The following is a 22,340-nucleotide window of genomic DNA, read 5'->3' on the forward strand; positions in this document are numbered from 1 at the left end:
AGCTGAAGCAATAAGGTATAATCACGTGACAGATTAAGCAAGTAGGATATTACATCATAGTTAACAAAAGATTTTTCCAATGCTTTCAGGTTTTAGACAGAATATAAGTATATATTTTATAGTCTTCTGTCTCAGAGACATATAGGAGAATTGCCATTTTTATAACAGGCATATTCTTCTGGAGTTTATAACTCAATCTCTTTAATTCACATTGGGTTTAAGCATGTGTTTGGAATTGTCGTCTTGAGGACCTAGTAGTTTTTTTTTTAATACTTAATGGGAGTCATTATAGAAAATCTATTTTATGTATAGCACACTTTGTGCTATTGTGCTGTGTTGATAAAATGCCACATCTGTCTACTCCCTCTCTTTGGTGCCATCAGCCAAATACTGTCTTTTCAGACCATTTTCACTGCCACCTGGCAGAGACACTGAAACTGTGGAGGGTTATTAGAAGAATTATTGATGCAGTTTTTCATTTAAAACCTCAAAAATAAATTCCTTCAGCTGATATCCCTTCACAGAAGATTGCAATATAGATCTAGGGCAGACAGAGAGTCTACAAAAGTAAAAGTGATTGATGCAATTTGTTTCTTTGGTCCACCTTCAGGTGATAATAGGAAAGGATGTGTATTTTCACAGACTTGAATACTCTTCAAATTTTTTGCTTTGATAAATGTTTCCATTTTTTCATTTTTTAAAATTAAAATATGATTAGATGATTTTAGTTCCAGCAAGATCAATGTGGCATAAGTTCTGGTGACAATAGTCTATTGAATGCATTTGAAATACAACACATTTCCGACTTGGAGTAAATGTACAATATACATAAACATCACGTGATAATATATTTTATAGGATAAATAACAGATGCTGACAGTTTTTTGTTAGTGGTCTTTAAAATAATCCAGTATTGGGTAAAAGTTCCAGAAATTATAATTTCCTGTCCTTTTTAGATTATACCATCAGTGGTAAATATTATGTTTTGATTTTGCAGAATTTCTTTGTCCTTTAAAAGCCCTGATGAAATGGTATCTTTAGGTGCTACTAAAAATAAAAATTCTCAACTGGATTCTCTGCCCCAACTTGTGAAGATTTGCCAGCTCTTTGTCTTTGCTCTTTCTCTAATCCTCATCTACATTGCTTCTAAAGCACCCTTTCCAAAATATAAATCTGATTATATCTTTCTTACAAAAATGTCTTTGAACAGATCTTTAGAGTTTTCAGAATGAAATGTTACACTTGTTTAGCAGAAATCATCTGTCCCTATCTATATGACCACTGTGACCTAGATTTCTTTTATTCTCAGAATCTTTTACATGCCCCTAAAAATCCAGTTCAGTGGGTCTCTGCCTTATGTGCTGCTTCTCTTTGTCCCAAGTCACCTTACCACTCTTCGCCTAGTCAGCTCTTAGTTGTCCTCCAAAGTACAGCTCTAATGTAGCCATGCCCTAGCAGCTTTTCTCTTTTTTTTTCTCACAACATGGCCTGATTGGTTCTGTTCCACTCTTTCTCCCCCAGTGCCATCTGCATTTTTTCTGTTTTCATTGAAAAAAATCACATTTTGCTGTTTTTGTGTATTTATTTATATATTTACTTGTAAGCCTCTGCCACAGGGCAAGAACAATTTTATTTGGCTTCCCATCTCCTGTACCAACCAGAATGTATCATCATTTTTCGTCAATCAGTACATTTTGTGTGAATAAATGGATGAATTATGTCTTTTCAGAAAAGTGGATGCATAGATGCGGTCATTTGCCAGTCCTTATTTTGAGGACTATATTTTAGCAGTGGTGTTAAAATCGTATTATCTGGATGCCAAAAGCATTTTGCAAAATCACTCATCTACAAAAAAAATGTTTCAAAAGTTTGAAAATTAAATTCTTGGAAGTCTGTACTTCTAAAGTACACATGGTAATTTTAGTGATAGAGATTTGTAATTTTACTGGATAGATGAAGAATAATATGCTTAAAACTATGAAATACATAAATATATGTTGATATTTCATTGATTTCATTTGATGATTTCAATCACGTTTATTCTCAGTTAATATATTTTAAAAGTTTGTAAAGAAGGACTGTATAGAGTATCCAGGACTCTAAGGTTTTACTAACTACTTTTGTGAGGTAATTTAAATTCTTTCTGGCCCAAAGCAGTACAAATTAACTAATCAGCTAAATAGGTGATTTTTATTCAAATCTTTTAAGTGACTGATTTTGACCAAACTGAGTTTTGAGTTTTTAATAATTTTCGATACATGCTAAATTATTCAACACTCCTCACTTGGCAAGTGTCCATGTTGGCATTATTATTTTTCTTTATAGGATCACAAAGAGATAACTATATACTCATTCTTAACTTTTTCATAACAAATATAATTTTTCTACAAGATTGCAGATGACGGAAACAAACCTTAAGTGTTTTTTTTTTTTTTTGGCACAAATACCTGGTGGTTTCACATTTCTATTGAAAAAATGGTCACTGCAGTGTTTTAAGAGTTTTCTCTAAAATAATTTTTTAACATTGATTTACACCATCATTTCTATGAGAAAACATGGAACAAAAATCAATGTATCTGCTGATTCGGGAGAACTGTGTGGAAATAACAAGAAGATTGTAAGAAGCAACTAATCTCCTGAAAATACAAGGCAACCTATACCACGCTCTGTTCAAACAGATTCATAAATCTGGGTTTTCCATACTGCTAGAATGAGTCTTCTGTTAATCTATAGTTATAGAAGAAAATGTCATTTAGTAGATTTATCCCATCTGTCCCTGGGTTATGCGTTAGATGCGTTGAACTAGGAGGCGGTATAATAGAACACCAAAAAATAAGTCAATACAAATCCCAGGGAATTGTCTGGAAAAATGCTGCTGCTTTTTCTACGCTAGGATTCTTGTAAGGATGAAGAATTGGTTGCGTGTTTGGGGCTGATCTACGTTTACCCCATTCTTGGACCTGCACTTCTTTTCTCCTGAAGGACTGAAATGATTTCCAGTGACAGTTTTTACCAGACATCACTCATGGTTAGAGGGCATTAAAGTGCCACTAGGTTCTAAAAATTAGAGTTGATTTTAAAGTGTTTTCTTGGTCTCAGTTTTCTAGCCTAAGAAGCGAGTTAAAGTGGATATAGATTATTAGAAAAGTCATGGAATAAACACTGTGTTTTCTGCTCAACAAAAATGGATTTTGGTAGGGAGACGCCCTTGTGAAAACTTCCAATGATACTGCCTACTGTCTTTCACTTTATTCTCTCTCAAGATCATTAGACCACCATTTAAATCTGAACTTTCTTAGGATTTTTACCCCCATCCCTTTCTTTTATTTTCTGTCGGAGTTACTTATGTCTTGGTCTCATTAGCTTCACCTGTACCATTTTACTAGCCTCCCAGCCAGACTTCTTGTTTTATAGACTAAGTGGCTTCCTCTCCAATCCATGCTACATTCATCAGAGGGTTAAAGCTGCCAAAAATTACTTTTGCATCTGTCACTTTTCAGCTTAGAAAAAAATCAGAATAAAATCCTCAGTTTGACTTCTGAAACCCTCCTTTGTAGCCAAAAGTGTTTACATAACTTGGACCCTCCATCCTGCCAAATTACACACTGTATCCTAAGCTTGTTCTTGCTTCTTATACTTTGCTCCATAATCTCCTTGTTTGGAATGTGTTCATTTTTCCATTTACCTCAAAGCTCCCATAATGCCCATTTTCTACACAGAGCCTTCTGTAGGTTTTACAACACCAAGGGATTTCTTTCTCCTGAGTCTTATTGTGTTTCGTATATATACAATAACTTAAATTCTCTTCCACTGTGGTCTGAGATTACCTCTACCATTGCACTTACCACAGTCTTAGATAAGTGTTGATTTAATTTCGTTTTTGTTTTTGTCATTGTCATTGTGTTTTTCATTTCCCTTAGACTCTAAGCTCTTTGATGGCTTCAGGATAAAAGCTTCCCATCTCTGTATCTTTAGTGCCCAGTAGGGGAACATAGTAATTACCTGACTAACCTTTATCTATCTAAATGAAATAAATTAGATTGAGTCAACCATTTCAATACATTTATTTATATTGCTTATTACCCTTGTATATAATTCCCATCTCTTCAATTCTTCAATGTCTTTAATCTTTCAACTCTTGAATTCTAGATATAAGCACTTTTAAGAATAGGGGTCATATTTTATACCCTTTGGTATCCCTGTGCCTTATATAATTCTTGCAGTAACTACAAAAACTGCCAATGCTTATAAATAAATTGACTTTAGAGGAAGGAGATGGTTGAGTAAGAGAGTGATTCTTTTCTTATCTTTATTTATTTAAAAAGCAGAACCAACTTGAAAATCCATGTTTTTCCTTAAAAATGTTAAAATCATTTAAAAATCTAATTTTCTATGCAAGTATATGTAGGCCAAAGGATTACAATGTACAACATATAAAATACGTCTGCTAAAAAGTTTGCTTCTTTCCTCACATTGGATTGAATATAATGTCTTTCTTTTTGTGTTTTGAGAAATGTGTAAAAGTAAATAAAAAACTGTAGTCTCTCTCTGGCACTGAACAGTCAACATAGTACCATATTTTCTCCTTGACATATTTTTATTTGTCTATGGTTGATATTTACACGCTTTCTTTTCTTTTAAATTATAGCTCCCCCACAGTTTGTGGTTCGGCCAAGAGATCAGATTGTTGCTCAAGGTCGAACAGTGACATTTCCCTGTGAAACTAAAGGAAACCCACAGCCAGCTGTTTTTTGGCAGAAAGAAGGCAGCCAGGTGAGTGTGAGGCTTCACTGCTTTTCTGAAATCTCTGAACTTCTACTGTCTCTGCTGCTCCTGAAAGCTTGCCTTGCTTCTCTTGTTCTCAATGTTTGAATTTATTTTATTTCTGAAAAAGAGACTGGTGAATGTAAAAATAAGTAGGAGTCAGATGTTCTAGCAATAGCATTCTTTATTTGCTAGTATTAATCTTTTCAAAATTCTGTCTCTTACATAGAACAGCAATAAAGCAGTGTAACAAAATTATCGTTAAAAGTCCAACCAAAACCTCTGTAGCTATTTAAAATCTGTGAAGGTAAAGCTAATTTTGTTTTCTTGTATTGAGATACGTGGTGTGATAGAGTCAGGACATATGCAGTACTTAGAACAATCTCTGTGACATGGAAAACAGTCAAATATTTGTTTAATTGGCCCAGAATTTCAATCCTCTCTCTTATATACACAGCATAAATGACTTTTCTTACCCTTAATTAAAGCATGCTTCCATTTAAGAGTAGGATAAATCTTTTCCTTCTCCATTCCTCCTGGATTCATCCATAGTGGGGTTAGACAGGAAATAATACATAGTACACTAGAAGGAACCCATACCTGTCTTGTCTTTGTTCTGCCCTGGTTTGTCCTCTCCAGGGCCCTCTCTGGGCAACATGGCCTCTCAGAGTCTCTATGGAAAGTCAACTGGATACACTAGTTTTCTCATTTAGAACTCTGTCTAAAGTTGGACAACTGCTTAGCCTCTAGGTTCGTAGTCAATGAGTGAAATTTCCAGGTAAAACTAGATTAAAAATTGTGTTGTTTGCAAAATAATTTATCTGTGCATTCCCATGGGACCTGGAGATATTTTCCTTCTAAACTTTCTAGAAACATGCACTACTAGGCATATTCTGAGGAAGAGACCTACTGGTGGTCTTCCTCATCACATTCTGTTATTACTACATGTTCCAGAAGAATTTCCTTGGGAATAATGGAAATCATTATTAAACATCTCTGGAAATCTAAAACCTTGGCCAGAGATGGGAAATGTAAGTTGCATTAGAAGACTCTGTTGATTAAAGCTTACATGTGTTTATCTGCAACATACATGTGTGCAAGGAAGCCTGTAGAAGTTCTGTGCAGCCATTATGTCTAATTGTTGTGGGTTTCTATAAATTCCTGTACCAGCTCATAGTGAGCAGTTCTAACAGCTCAGTCTGGATGGACAAATGGCCTTTTATTCCTCACTCAGCTCTCCTTGGTGGAGTCATTCCTCTTGTGATTTGTGGAATGTAAACGTAGTGACGGGAATGTAAGGAAAGGTGATGGCCACTGCCTTATCCCACATCAGAACTGTTCCAGGCCTTAACTCTCAAATCTTCTTTCTAATTTAGTAATTACAAAACAGGTTTCTACACATAGAGTTCTTTAACTGTTTGCTTTAAAATTCTTTTCAGATGTTAGCGTCTCAGACTCTAAAGTAAGTGTAAGGCAGCATGACAATTAAACACATACACACACACTTAGACACACACACATATACACACACATGCAGAGACAGACACACATATACACACACATACCACACACATACACATACGCCACACACAGAGACATGCACACATATACACACATAACGCACATACACATAGACATACATGCACACACATAGACACACATAAACACACACCACTCACATACACATACACATACATACACATACACACACACACACACACAAAAAGGAGAGAATTCAAAATCCAGTTTCCTCCTTATAAATTGTACAACTTTTGTAGTGCTATTTAAATGTACTGGAACTCATTTTCTTAATCTAAAATACAGAGCTAACACATTTTACTTCACACAAACAAAGTTTAAATGAATAAGTTGCTTTACACATTATGAAGGTTAAGCAAAATGTTATGTCACTGGTAGTAAATATAATGATGTAAAGCAATTTGATCATTGCATACTCACACTTTAAATCCATGTATTGAGTGAAATCTCATTATAATGTGACTTGTTATTATATAGCTAAGACCATATCAGGTGTAAATCACATTCCCTAAAGTAGCTCCAAGTTGAATTACAAGGTAGTGCATAAAATGTGTATTGGCCTTGTAGCTTAATAAACATAGGATATTTAAATATGCTACATCTTTGTTAATGGTTTCAAAATAAATAACAATTAAATAGCATTTCAGTATTCCTTTTTCTGTATTTGACGAAGTGGCATATAATTCCAGAGATATTAATGTTAAAGATTACATAAAATCTTAAGTCTAGTTTTCTTTTCCTCACCTATCTCTCTCCCATCAGAGAGATAGAGGTAGAGATAGAGAGGGATGTGGTGGGAGAGAAAGAGAGAGAGAGAGAGAAAGAGAAAGAGATACACAGAGAGAAAATACTGTGAATGAGAACAAGAGAGAAGTGCTTGAGCAAATTATAAATTCTCAAATCATGAATTGGGATATTGGGAAAAAATAAGTCGGTCTTACTATTTCCAGTATCCAGTTTTTACAGTTATCTATGACCATCCATCAGTAGAAACAGTTAAAAGCCTGAACTTAATGGTCCATATTTCTCAATATATGCTGATAATGCCAATTAGCTCTAATAGGATACCCAGGCACTCTCCAAGGCGGGAAGAGCTGTGAAGTTCCCGGTTTTTGCTTGTAATCCATTTTCTTTTGCCTATGTCATGCAAGCAGAGAAGAAAAATGATGGGTTAACCTTCATATAATGCCATTTTCCATGTCAACGAATCATTTAGAAGGTGGACTGATGGTACATTGTAGAGGAAGCCATCCCGTAGAGAATAAAGCCCATCTGATATATTAGTGCTATGTAAATTAGTATTCTAATGGCTAATTGTGGGAAAGTGTGCACTTTGAGTTATTGTATCATTTTCAAGTGACTTCAAAATTTAGACTCTCTCTTTTAGCTCGTTTATTTTGATAATACATTTGGAATCTACAGTAGAATCAGCTGATTCTCAAATTGTGTTTCTATGCATGAAAATGTCTAGCCTTATATAATAGTACACATTTTATAAGAGGTCAATAGCATATTGAAATTACATTCCTGACATGCTAGCAAACATCACTCGTTTTAGACGGAGTTTAATAACATGGTAATGTTTATGTAAAGTGGGCTTATAGTGTCACACTTGAATCTAATAAAGTGGACATCCATCATGTTGCAATAAAGAGAAGAGCTTCTAATTAAAACAGGACATCATTTGCAGGATTAAAGTCATTGAGCATAATTGAAAAGTGTTAATACCCTATTTTATCCTCTTCCATTGGTATTACTTCAAGGGTAAAAACATTTTAAGGTGAAAATGTGTCCTGGGCCTTTAATTGAATGTTATTGCCTCCTGATTGCAACGTATTGAAACTGTTTAATTACAAACCTGGAAAATTAATTACTATATGGAGAAACAGATCCCAGAGGGTTAAAATGTCCTTTTTTGTAAGTAAATACAACATAAAAATTGATATCTCCTTATTTATAATCCAACTTGGAAACATGCCCCAATATAATTTATTATACTCAAATGTTTTTCTTAATTGAACAACAGTAAAGCAACACAGTTCATCCAAATTAATGTTACTCCTCTCATAGATGAACTTTCACAATTTGTAATTAGGCTATATGTATATATGAGATATAGAGTAAACTAAAGTAATTTTGTTTTAAAAAGAAAGTAATATTATGAAATTGTTTAAGGTAACACACTTTTAGAAACATTCTACATTTTCTTTTTATCTTCAGTAATTTGCTTACTCTTGCTTAAATTGTAGCATTTGTTTATAACCCCATTCAAAGCTGCAAAAACTTTACAGCAGAAGTACAGTCAGCTCTCTGTCACACACTTTTGAACAACTTTGGGAGAAATTCAGTTGAGTCCATCAAGTATTCAAAATGATCAACAGCAATCATATTTTGCATTCTTCAGAGCTGTGCGGTTTATACAACCCATACACAGTCAATGTTATGGCCAGATCTTCATGAGGCCTTAGTAGTTGAGTCAGATAAGAATTGTTTTGCCCATTTTCCAGATGAAGAAAAAAGCTTCAAAGATATTAAGTAACTAGCAGAAAATCAGGATGAGATAAAGATCCCCATTCTTTAAAAACACAGATGATTATTCTTTCAACTAGAAAATATTGACTTCTTAGAGGATATTATTCCACCATGATTTGGAAAACCTTTATCAGTGAAACCCACTGTGTGGCATTTAAACATTTCTGAACCATATATATTTTAATCTGTGTATTTTCTTTTTCCCACTGTATTCCTTAATTGTAGTAGCTTTTATTCACATAATTTTTTTAAGTGGAAAATGAATATTGATGAGATTGTGCTTGCTTCCACAGAACCTACTTTTCCCAAACCAACCCCAGCAGCCCAACAGTAGATGCTCAGTGTCACCAACTGGAGACCTCACAATCACCAACATTCAACGTTCCGACGCGGGTTACTACATCTGCCAGGCTTTAACTGTGGCAGGAAGCATTTTAGCAAAAGCTCAACTGGAGGTTACTGATGGTGCGATATCTTTACTAGATTTGTCTTATGAAAACATTGATTTTTATTTCTAGATACACGTTAACCATGTGGAGTTTGCTGATTTGTTAAATCATTTCTATGTATGCTTATCTTTTAAGTTTGAATCCAGGTCACATTCTTTTGGTAGTTTCTAATTCTCCCTGATTGAATACCACTTATTTTCCCCAAAGAAGAACTTCAGAGATAATTTACTTAATTCTTAAAAATAGAATAGTGCATTTTTTTAAATAAATGTCATCACACTCACTGCATACTGAAATGTAATCTGTATATTTTTATTTAGTCTTAGGCTGACATGATTGGCTCTACTAGACATTAATAATTTTATTTCACTCTAGGAGGAGGTCATACCACCTTTAATATTATCAGAGATGAGATTTTAGTTAGCTAATCACATTAGGACATTCCTATGATTTTAATTATGCATTCACTAAGTTAAATTAACTACCTTTCAAAGTGCTGAACAATGCTAAAATTATTATTTTTATTGGCACATATGCACTTTGAATCTTAACTGAGGCACCTACATTCATAGTGAAAGTTGAAAAGGATGAAGGGCTCTGCGTAATCTGGTTTTTTCCCAGCAGTTTATTTGTCACAATTGACAGCTAGCAAATTTGAGATATTTCATGAACCTCTGAGCGTGAATTTAATCCCTATTCTTTGATGTCTTAAACTGAAAATTATTTCTTACTCTCCTTTATTTGTGAGGATTTTTACTTTTGTTTTCTCCCCTAATGCTGGCTTCTGAGATACAAGTGCTTTGGTCTGTGGTGTCTTCTTGATCCCCTTCTTTCTCTGATGGTGAAATTTGATGTGCTTTTATACAATTTAAATTTACATGTAGATTAAAAGGTCATTTAAAATTAATAGAAAGGCAGTATTTTTTAATATCTGTTCATGGTATGGCCTGATTCAGTGACATGTCAGGAATGGGAATAAATAGAACAGACAAACATTGGCTGCAGGGACATTGAGTCGTTAATGGCTGCACCTGCTGATGCTGCAGAGATTTACTGCTATGGAACTGAAAGGAGAAGTCAGGTTCAAGGATAGCAGTGATGAGAAATTCTTCCTTAGATGGGCAAGGTCTTTGATTCTTTGTACCTCCATATTTCTTTAAAAGAATAAAAGATAATTATTAATCATTAAAAAGATCTTATGTTTTCACCTGTCAACAAAAATGTCCAGATACATACACTTGAAAAATAAGATATTCTGTCCAAAGCCTATGTTTTATTCTATATTCCTAAGAACACACCAAATGTAATGCTTAAGATACCGGCTATCATTTAACTACTTATAATATTTTATAGAAGATTGACTCTCAAATGTTTCTAAATGAAGAAATTGTTATGGAAAAGGCAAACCATATTTGTGGGAAGCAAAGTTGATGAACTAGAAGAGCCAGTTAATGTGACTGTTATCGTTCATAAAACAGGTGGATATTCAGAATTACGTCTGATACAATTAATGGAAAACCTTTGAGGCCTTACACTAGCTCATGCTATATTACAAAACAGTAGTTAGTCTAGCTTTCTTTCTGTGGTCAAAAATAAGTGATGACCAATGTTAAATCTTCTGCCAACTGAGATTGCTCTAAACATTTTGTTACAACTGGCTTGAGTATTAATTCCTATATTGATTTTTACTTGAGTAAGCAATTACAAAGTCAAGATCCTTTTGCAGAGACATTGATTAGAAGTTACAGTGTTGTTGATTTTGACAGTAAAGAAATGAAACTATAAGAACTAAATATGTACACACATGTTATCAATTAATCTGTCTCTAAATATGAAGTTGCCACATTGGCTGATGCCTTAAGCTTCTACCCATAGTTTTGATTTTTCATACAGGTTAATGATTTAATACTATCTGAGCCATTATTTCATTTTGAACACATTTATTTTGATATAATTCAGGGAATTGTAGAGCCATTTGAAATTCCATGGTAGAATGAAAACGTATGTCATGTTCAGAGAAAGAAGTGATTACAGGCATACCTTCCTTTGTTGTACTTTGCAGATACCATGGTTTTTACAAATTGAAGGTTTATGGCAACCCTGGGTCAAACAAGTCTGTTGGTGCCATTTTACTAACATCATGTGCTCACATTGTGCCTCTGTGTCACATTTTGGTAATTCTCACAGTATTTCAAACAATGCCATTATTATTCCATCTGTTATGGTGGTGGTCTGTGATCAGTGATCTTTGATACTACTATAATTTTTGGGGGGTATCACAAACTGCACCCATATAAGATGGTAAACTTAACTGGTAAATGTGTGTGCTCTGGTTTCTTTACCCACTGGTTTCTTTACCCCTGTTGTTCTGTCTTTCCCTGAGCCTCCCTATTCCTCGAGACACAACAGTATTGGAATTAGGCCAGTCAGTATCTCTACAGTGGCCTCCATGTGTTCAAGTGAAAAGTCACATGTCTCTGACTTTAAGTTAAAAGCTACAAAGGCTTAAGTTTAGTGAGGAAGGCATGTCAAAAACTGAGATAGGCCAAAAGCTGGGCCTCTTGTTCTAAACAGTTAGCAAAGTTATGCATGCAAAGGAAAAGTTTTTGAAGGAAAGTAAAAGTGCTACTCCAGTGAACACAAAAAATGATAAGAAAGTCAAACAGCCTATTGCTGATATGAAGAAAGTTTTAGAGTCTGGATAGATCAGTGAGTCACAACATTCCCTTAAGCCAAAGCCTAATCCAGAGCAAGGCCCTAACTGTCTTCAATTCCTTGAAGGCTGAGAGAGGTGAGGAAGCTGTAGAAGAAAAATTTGAAGCTACCAGGGGTTGGTTGATGAGATTTGAGGAAAAAAGCCATCTTCATAACTAAAAGTACAAGGTAAAGCATCAAGGGCTAATATGGAAGCTTTATCAAGTTATTCAAGTTATCCAGAAGTTCATTCATGAAAGTGGCTATACTAAACAGATTTTCAATGTAGACAAAGCATGCATATATTGAAAGAAGATGTTACCTAGGACTTTGATGGCTGAAGAAAAGAAGTCAATGCCTGGCTTTAAATGACAGACTAACTCTCTTGTAAGTAACTAATGCAGTTGGTGACTTTAGGTTGAAACTGATGCTCATTTACTATTTCAAAAATTCTATGACCCTTAGAATTATTCCAAATCTACTCTGCCTGTGCTCTGTAAATGGAAAAACAAAGCCTGAATGACAGCATATCTCTTTACAGCATGGTTTACCTACCGAAATATTTTAAGTACAGTGTTGAGATCTACTCTGCAGAAAAAAAAATTCCTTTCAAAATATGACTTCTCATCTACGTGTACCTTGTCACCCAAGCTCTGATAGAGATGTACAAAGAGATTAATGTTTTTATACCTGTTAACACAACATCTGTTCAGCAGCCCATGGATCAAGGAATAATTTCAACTTTCAAGTCTTATTTAAGAAATATATTTTCCAAGGCTATAGCTGCTGTAGACAGTAATTCAACTGAAGGATCTGGGCAGGGTTAATTAAAAACCTTCTGGAAAGGATATACCATTATAGATGCCATTAAGAACATTTATGATTTATGGGAGGAGGGCAAAACATCAACATTACCAGGAGTTTGGAAAGTTGGATGACTTTGAGGGGGTTCCAGACTTCAGTAGAGGAAGTAACTGCACATGTGGTACAAATAGCAAAAGAACTAGAATTAGAAGTGGATCCCGAAGATGTGACTAAATGGCTACAGTCACATGATACAAATTGAACAAATGAAGAATTGCTTCTTAGGGATGACCAAAGAAAGTGATGACTTGAGATGGAATCTACTTCTATTCAAGATTGTTGAAGTGATAACAAATGATTCAAAATATCACATAAACTTAATTGATAAAGCAACATCAGAGTTTGAGAGGATTGTCTCCAAATTTGAAAGACATTTTACTGTGGATAAAATGCTATAACACAGCATTGCATGCTACTGAAAAATCTTTCCTGAAAGGAATAGTGAATCAATATGGTAAGCTTTATTGTCTTATTTTAAGAAATTGGCACAGCTACCCCAATCTTCAGCAACCACCACCCTGGTCAGTTAGCAACCATCAGCACTGAGGCAAGATCCTCCATCACCAAAAAGATTACCACTCTAGGCTCAAATGATCATTAGCATTTTTTAGCAATAAAGTATTTTTAAGGTATGAACTTTTTTTTAGACATAGTATTATTCTACACTTAATAGACTCCAGAATAGTGTAAACATAGCTTTTATACGCACTGGGAAAAAAAATTTGTGTGGCCTTCCTTATTGCAATATTTGCTTTATTGTTGTGGTCTAGAACCAAACCTACAATACCCCTGAGATATGCCTGTATTCCGTTTAGAGCAGTGTATCTGTTGTCACATTTTTGCGCTTAGACTCATTTTCTGGAAATATTTATAATTCAAACATTCATAAAAGATGAAATTGCTAATGATGCTGAATAGTGCTATGTTGAGCAACAATTTTACTGATCATAGATTAAGCTAATATGTTTCAATATACTTGAGTTTCAATATATTTCTCTAAAAGACTTCCGCATTAGTTCACTGGCATTGTTCTGTATTTCTTCTTTCCTTTTGCTCTATCTTTTTCTCTCAGAGAATTAGGAAATTGTAATCAGCATTCTGTGAATAGAGCCAATAGAAGTTAAAAAGACTGGGGAGATAAGATGTATTTATATCTTGTACTGACAATAAATGTCACATCATGATCTTATATGAATGGTTTATTGAGTATTTATAATGCATAGTGAGAGAAAACCGTGGAGTTGTTCACAGATCACTGGAATCCCTAAATGTTCATTTAACCTTTGACTTAAGTGTCATGGAAACCTGTGGTCATCTTTCACCCATAACATCCTTGGAACTGAAAATTATGTCTGGCCAGGAGATTTTCAATTACTTTATTGATCAATTCATTCAAAAGGTGATGAGCTACTCATTAGGGCAGTAAAAAAACAGAAAGAAAAAAACTAATTAGATGACCTTTGGCTGCATCTAATGATTTCAGGGATATGACAATAAAAGCAGGTTATAAGAAGTTACCTGAATTCTGCATAGGTATTTAATTTGGAAAAAAAATCGTTTAAAATTTAATTAGTATGCTTTACTCTGGTAACACAGACTCACTTTCTCACTGCATTAAAAAATTACTCATAGTGTTTTGTTCATTGGCCTTCTCTTTTTGACCCATAAAAATAAGTCCCATGAAACTTTTAGTTTGAATTTCTATTTGCCTAATTACTGACAGATGTGCCAGAATTATTACAATATTCTACTTCAATATTTTCTTAAAATGTTTTATTTAGTATTAAAAGTAAGAATTTGATGAAAAAAGCAGTGAAATAAATGATTCTAATTTTTGTTTGTGAATGATAAACAGTTTTTATTGTTTTTCTTAGGTTTTATCACTGATAAAATAGGTTTAGGTTGACTAGAATCTGCAATGTCTTGATATGAAGGTAACCTGTATCATAAATTCTAGCTTCAATTAAATTTGGTTGGCTTTCTCATGATAGGTTCTGAAAAGGCTGCTTAACTTTAATCTTTTGTTCCCTAAAACTATGAACTCTAGTAAATATGATGCAAGTAAATTGGAAAGATAGTAATTTTAAGCTGCCATTTATAAAAGCTGGTGGGCAAAGGAAATTTGAACGTTAAGCAAACTGTTTTCAATTGTATACATTGCAATACAAGGTGAGTTTTTTGAGAAACAACAGTTTATCTTCACAGTTGCTTAGAAATTATTAGAATCCATCATTCATTTTTTCTTTTTTGTGGAAGTCTTTTTCATATATATTCTTTTATATACTACATGTATTTTATATGTTACATATAACCATACACAATAAAAAGCATATTTTGGATAATTAACCAAAGTCTATGCTGTCTATGCCGAAGTTTATAGAACTTTCTCTTTAGAAAGACTTCCCTGGACCTGGACATGTCCTTTTGATTATATGGTGATCTTCTAATGAATTCTAAATGAAATCTTACCTCCGGTCAACTCTATATTTTTCTTAACCATGTAAATAATACTGTACATTTTGATGTCCTTCTTAAATAATCATTAAATACTTCTAAAAGCACTGAAATGCTACTACGATACAGTTGTATTGTACTACCGAAATGCTACTACAAATACAGTATTTCATAAATAAAAAGCAATACTAAGCTAAACATTTAGAAATTATGGAAAATTTATCCAAATGAACACAACAATTGATATACATGTAAACACTGATTTTGCACAAGCACTGTTTTTGTCATATGATAAATATAATCTAGATGACTTTCCTTTGATCAATTATAAGCACTAATTAAATCAAATCATCCAAATGATATGACTGTAATTTGATGAGCTCATGTCACAATTTTGGAAGGAAATTATTTATAATCTAATATTTTAACATCAGCAGAAATATTTTAGCCTGTATAAATACAGCACATAACTGGTGCCATAAGGGGGAAATTATGTACTATATTTATGATAAATGCAAAAGTGAAAATTGGCTGTACTCATATGATACTTCACACACTTTCTTAAATATGCATATGAGATAAAATGAACATTTCATAGGTGACTGACTGCCATAAGCTATTCAAATTTTAATTTTAATACGACTAAGCCTTTTTATACAATTAAGTCTTTATAAAATGTCAGAATTTATCTCAATGCCATTTTAATTATAGGTAATGCAGAGGAAGTTATTGACAATAAATAGTATGGCCTTAGTATAGTATATATGTATGTACATATATAGATGATAGATATATGATAGATTTAGAATATACATGACCAAGAATATACATATTGCTTAGAATAAGTTATAAGTAATATATATTGTGTTGGGGCTTTAACCTTACTTTCAGTGTCAATATATCAAGCCTACTGAACTACATTGATGTTAAAATACCTGAAAAGAGCTTTATTCTTCAGTTTTGACAGATAGACCTCCACCTATAATTCTACAAGGCCCAGCCAACCAAACGCTGGCAGTGGATGGTACAGCGTTACTGAAATGTAAAGCCACTGGTGATCCTCTTCCTGTAATTAGCTGGTTAAAGGAGGGATTTACTTTTCCGGGTAGAGATCCAAGAGCAACAATTCAAGAGCAAGGCACACTGCAGATTAAGAATTTACGGGTAAGTAATATTGGACTTGTACATGAATTATCATCTACACATAAGTACTGCTCTATGGAAAAATTGCATAGTGAACTTAAAATCTTACATCCTAGTATAATTGCTGCACGTTTAAAAACAGTTAATGTTATTACTTATTTTAAAAATGATGAAATGAAATTAGAGGAAAGGTCACAGTTTTTACGTTACTCACACATTCATAACAGAATCTCGAAACTTTTATTCCTGTATCCCATTCCATATGTATACAGTCAACAAATCTAGAAATCTTAAACACATAGCATTAATATGAGTAGTAGGGTATTGGAAATGACAAAAACAACAAATGCTTCTGATTTACTTTCATTCGCAAAAGAAATTGTAAGGAAATGTAGATAAAGTGGCTTGGCCAAAGAGTTGAGTAGAAGAAAAATAAAGAGATGAGACTGAGTACATAAACGGCGAGTTTGCCTGGTTAGTGGGAAACCTTAGGTTGTAGGTTAAGTTGTTGTGTAGTTTAGATTTAAACCCATGGAAAGAACAAGGCATTGGTGGTTTTTTACTGACGTTTACATGATAAAAAATGAGCATTCCTGGCAACTTAACAAGTCAGTCCTGCTTCAGGAGCAACTCAAAATAAAATGTCTACTTCTGAATATTGTATCAGTTATCTATTATTATGGAACAATATGAACAAAAATACAGTGGCTAAAAGCAACACACATTTATTACATCACAGTTTCTGTGAGTTAGGAGCCTAGGCATGACTGAGCTGTGTCTTTTGCTTCTGGGTCTTACAAGGCTCCAGTTAGGTGTCATTTAGAGTTGCCGTCTCATCTGAAGATTGACACAGGATGGATTTGCTTCCAATCAACATTATTCTTGGTAGCACTCAGTTCCTTGTGGCTACTGGACTAACAACCTCACCTTATCAATGGCTGTTGGCAGGAGGTTGCCTTTGGTTCCTTGCCATCTGGATCTTCCCCATATGACTACTTGCTTCCTCCAAGTCAGCAAGGAAGAGAGTCTCCTAGTAAGATGGGCACTACAGTCCTGTGGAACAAATCACAAACATGACATACTGACACTTTTGCAATATTATATTGGCCAGAAGGGAACCAACAGGTCCCACTTACACTCCAGGTGAGGGATTACACAAGATACAAATACCAGAAGGATGTTATCATGGAGGGCACCTGTCCTCTATCAGTACATTCAACTCATTCAACTAGGTATGGTAAGTCCCTTCCTCCTACCTGCCATGTAGCAAGTGCTATGTGAAAGCTGGAGAGTATATTTTAGTAATCACAAGATTGGGGATGAGACCCAGAACTAAGGTAGATGATGTAATAGTGCATGAAGAAAATTTCAGTGGAGGAGAAATCTGTAGAATCTTGGGTCCAGGTTGAAATTCAGAGCCAAGATGAAGAAAAACAAAGCAAAACAGCATTTAGAATCTTCCCATTCTGGAGCTAAAAAGAAAGGCAAAAATTTTTAACTACACATATTTCCAAATGATCACAATTTGGCATATTGTTCTTTTATAATGGGAATATGTTTACAATTATATGTTTATCTGATTATCGCTATATCATACAGACGTATATCAGAAAACAAAGTGACTATTTTTGCTACATGCACACACATGCACACATAAGTTTTTACTTTATATATATAATATTTATCTTTAATTTTTGAGATACAGGCATTAATTATTGCTTTAAATAGAAAAAATGCTGCCAAGTTGAGTTTAAAAAAGTAAATTAATACAGATATTTTGAGCCTGTCTTTTTATTGATTGTAAATTAATTGTTAACCTTCTTTGAACAAAATGGAAGTTATTAAAAAATTAATGCCAACTCTCTTTGTGTAAACACTTTAACCTCTATTTCTGGGCTAAAGGCAGACTTGGGCCATAGAGGTTAATGCATTTTCACTGTATCACTGAATTAAAGGGTATGCTTGAGTAGTCAAGATTTCTAGTAGTGTTTGAAAGAAGCAATTAAAGGTGGGTGCTTGATGATGTCAAACAAACTTTGAGCCCTCTGACAGGCTTCTGAGTAGTCTCTCTGAGATGCCAGCTCCTTGGGGCTTGTCTGCAGCCAAGTGCACAAGGAGAAAAGTAGATGATGGAATTTGCCTGCACATTAATCTCATTTTAAAGCAATTTATTAAGGGTAAAAGGACAAGCATGGAAAAGATGAGAAGCACTCCTCACCAGAAAAAGACATTATTTAAAATTAAAGGAATAAAATTAAAGGAATAAAATGTGGTGATGATGGTAATACCAAGAGTGAGTTTTAGCAACGATATTTAGGTTTATGAGGACCCCAAAATGAAAACGTTGTTCTTTTCCTGTAACATGACTGTCCTTACAGGGAGACAGAAGTGGGCTTTCCAATAGTTCACTCATACAGTCAAGAGAGTTTCTGTAGGCTGTATTCCTTTGTGTCTCACTATTTTTTTTTCAGTACTTAATGCAAGGGAAAAAAATAATGTGATGAATACTGTGTTCTTCTAGGCCAGCTAATTGGTAACTGAATCTTTATCTTTTGAGAAGTAGAATATTCCAGCACTCATTAAAATATACCTACCGCAGCTAATGTCATACTTGTATCTCCACACAATGACAAGGAGATGCAGTTAAGAAGCATTACCTACATACTTTTCTTTTAGCATTTGCAAGTAATAACAAGTGCTACATTTTAGTTCAACAGCTATAATAAAATGCAAATTCTTTTACTCTTTCACAGACCATATTCAAATGAACATCCCATTAAAATCCAACCTCGGCTCATTATATTTAGTTTGTGAGTGATGCTTCTTAAATGCAAAGATTTCTAATGACTATAATGTGTGCACAGCCACATTTGAAAGAATGGCTCTTTCTACAATGGCTATCCCCATCTTCCCTCTGTGTAATAGAAGACAATTGTACAGAGATAATATGGCAAAGAATGTCATGCCAGAGCAATTTGGAACTTAAGTTAAAATACATAATGGCATTTAAAATCAATTAAGATAGTGAAATGGCAGTAACATCCAGGCACTAATGATTTACCTGAGAATCAATCGAGAAAGCTTGAGTCATCAACACACTTATAGTTTGAACCCAGCAGATATAATATTCCATGAGCGACTATATTTCATCAACAATTAGACTGATGTTCATCACAGAATATTAATTCTACATCTTCTGCCTTGTCTGACTTTGTTTGGTCATCAGTTTCTCTTCCCAGTGTGACTTTTCCTTTACTCCTAAATTGATGAGAATGAATGTTGTTTGCAGTGTAAGCCACAAGGCTTGATCACACAGAATTTTGGAGTTGCCTCTTTTATTGATCTTGGGGCTTTATTCAAAATATAATCACAGAATCTTCTGCTTCTTGCATTTGTAAAAGAGGACTCTTGATTATATTATCAACTTTTTCTGAAAGTCCTTTGCCACTCTTCTGAGAATAATAAAACCATTTTAAGTGATCGATGAAATGGCAAGTTTTTATTGTGATCAAAAAAGAGTTATGAATTATGATATATTTATGTTCCCTTTCAGCTTGAAATTGCAGTCACTCCATAGCCACATTTTTTTAATGATACTTTATTCTATTCATTTTTCCACTACTGCAATTTACATATAAGTGAATATTGAAGTTTTTAAATGAAGAAGTTTACCTTAAAAATATTTCTTTTTCTGGCTGGGCACGGTGGCTCACACTTGTAATCCCAGCACTTTGGGAGGCTGAGGCAGGCGGGTCACCTGAGGTCAAGAGTTCGAGACCAGCCTGACCAACATGGAGAAACCCTGTCTCTACTAAAAATACAATGTTAGTCAGGCATGGTGGCACATGCCTGTAATCCCAGCTACTCGGGAGTCTGAGGCAGGAGAATTGCTTGAACCTAGGAGGCAGAGGTTGCAGTGAGCTGAGATCGAGCCATTGCACTCCAGCCTAGGCAACAAGAGCAAAACTCTGTCTCGGGGTAAAAAAAAAGTTCTTTTTCTTCTTCACTTTTTTCCATGTCTTTCAAAAGAAAGAAAGTGTGATCCCTTATTGTCTTATTGCTTATTTACTCGGGTATGTTTTATTCATTGAAACATAGTTTATTTGAGACAGAACAGTTTTGCATTACTGCTTCTCTGGAATTTTGTGAGATTCTGAAAGAGTTCTGTTCTGAGTCATTCATAAACAACTTAGATATAGTAGAGCCCTGCCATAAAATGGAGTTAAGAGGTAAGAGTATTATCACAGAGGAAGAAAAAGAGAGGGGCAAATTGTTTATCAGACAAATTAACATTGAGGTGCATAAATATTATTTTAAAAGCCCTTTGGACCAATGTTATGAATAATATTATATGAGTTTATTTCATTATTTTATGTATACATATGATTGACTCTAATGCATAATTTAGACAACAAAATGATACATCTAATTTTAAGAAATTAAATATTGCCTGGCTGTCATTGAGTAATTATTCTGCAAATTGACTGAAACAATTTAATTCTCTCCCTTCTGTGCACACTAGATTTCTGATACTGGCACTTATACTTGTGTGGCTACAAGTTCAAGTGGAGAGACTTCCTGGAGTGCAGTGCTGGATGTGACAGGTGAGGACTTTGTGAATTAGGAGAAATCTTGGGCCCCTTTTCTGATAGCTCAATATCAAATAATAAGTTAAGGGGGGATCAAAGTGTTTAATTCACTGAATGTAAATTTTAGCCTTTACATTCAATGCCATTTTTTAATTCATGCATGAATTTGCACACACCATTACATTTGTGGAATTTAATACACTTGTCTTTGATAACCTTATTATTTTATTTCCTCTGAAGTGTAAGGAATTCTAATGATCCTATGTAAAAACACAGCTTACTTTTATTAACATGTAGGAGAAGCAAACATTCACTTACATACTTCTGATTCATGGAGATGAATTTCTCACTGTCTAGGTCAGGTCCTTTAGTAGACTGCTTCCTTCTTTTAGGCAGTATTGTCAACTTATGCAATCAGGAATGAAGTTTTTTCTGTCTGTCCTCTATAGAGTCTGGAGCAACAATCAGTAAAAACTATGATTTAAGTGACCTGCCAGGGCCACCATCCAAACCGCAGGTCACTGATGTTACTAAGAACAGTGTCACCTTGTCCTGGCAGCCAGGTACCCCTGGAACCCTTCCAGCAAGTGCATATATCATTGAGGCTTTCAGGTATGGGACAATTCCTTCTTTCTCCACTGGGTTTTGTCTTAGCTCCTTTATTCTAAAATGTCACCTGAACTATCCTGCTGTTTTATTAAAGACATGTCCAATCAATGCATTTTAAGAATTGATCTCTTCTCTCTGACTTTATTCAAGAACAGAGTTAATTTTTTTTAGTTTACAACTTAATTATAAGATTTAAATATGCATTATTCATGCCTAGGTCTATGGGGATCCAGTTCATAACATAATCACTTAGCTCCATTCTTTACCCAGACCATTGTAGGGATTTAAGGTGAGAATTTAGGCATCTGAACTGGGTAGAAAATATTTTAATTAGGCATAGGCACAGGCACTTTTTAAAGTTATGTGACATTTATTGAAGCAGAGGACTCTGGCATTTATATTCCTAATAATTAGAGCAGAACTTAAAATAATCCCAATATTTTTATACCATATATTACATACATCTATTAGATATGCCTGAGAGAAAATTAACAACAATAATTAATAAATTTATTCCATGTGCTTCTAGTTGCTTAATGGAAAAGATGTTTCCACGTGTTATCTGAAATAATTGTTGCCAATTTAAAGATTTAAATGTAAATTAGCAAATATCAGTATAAAATTGTCCTATGAAAATTTGATAAAATGCTTACACAAATGGTAAAATATGCTTTCATATTCCCTTTCAAATGTGCTTCTACGT

The 22,340-nt window shown here is 34.2% G+C and overlaps 1 protein-coding gene across 41 annotated transcripts in view; it reads left to right on the forward strand.

The window, feature by feature from the left end:
- Positions 1-22,340, forward strand: part of ROBO2 (roundabout guidance receptor 2) — a 1,743,290-nt gene that overhangs the window by 1,635,015 nt on the left and 85,935 nt on the right. For all 41 annotated transcript variants that reach the window (NM_001378191.1, NM_001378195.1, NM_001378196.1 and 38 more), the window contains 5 exons: positions 4,649-4,773; positions 9,129-9,300; positions 16,255-16,460; positions 20,962-21,043; positions 21,478-21,640. In NM_001378191.1, the coding sequence (NP_001365120.1) occupies positions 4,649-4,773; positions 9,129-9,300; positions 16,255-16,460; positions 20,962-21,043; positions 21,478-21,640 (748 nt within the window). The remainder of the gene's footprint in view (positions 1-4,648; positions 4,774-9,128; positions 9,301-16,254; positions 16,461-20,961; positions 21,044-21,477; positions 21,641-22,340) is intronic.

Source organism: Homo sapiens, chromosome 3, assembly GCF_000001405.40.
Source record: "Homo sapiens chromosome 3, GRCh38.p14 Primary Assembly".
Classification (NCBI taxonomy): Eukaryota; Metazoa; Chordata; class Mammalia; order Primates; family Hominidae; genus Homo; species Homo sapiens.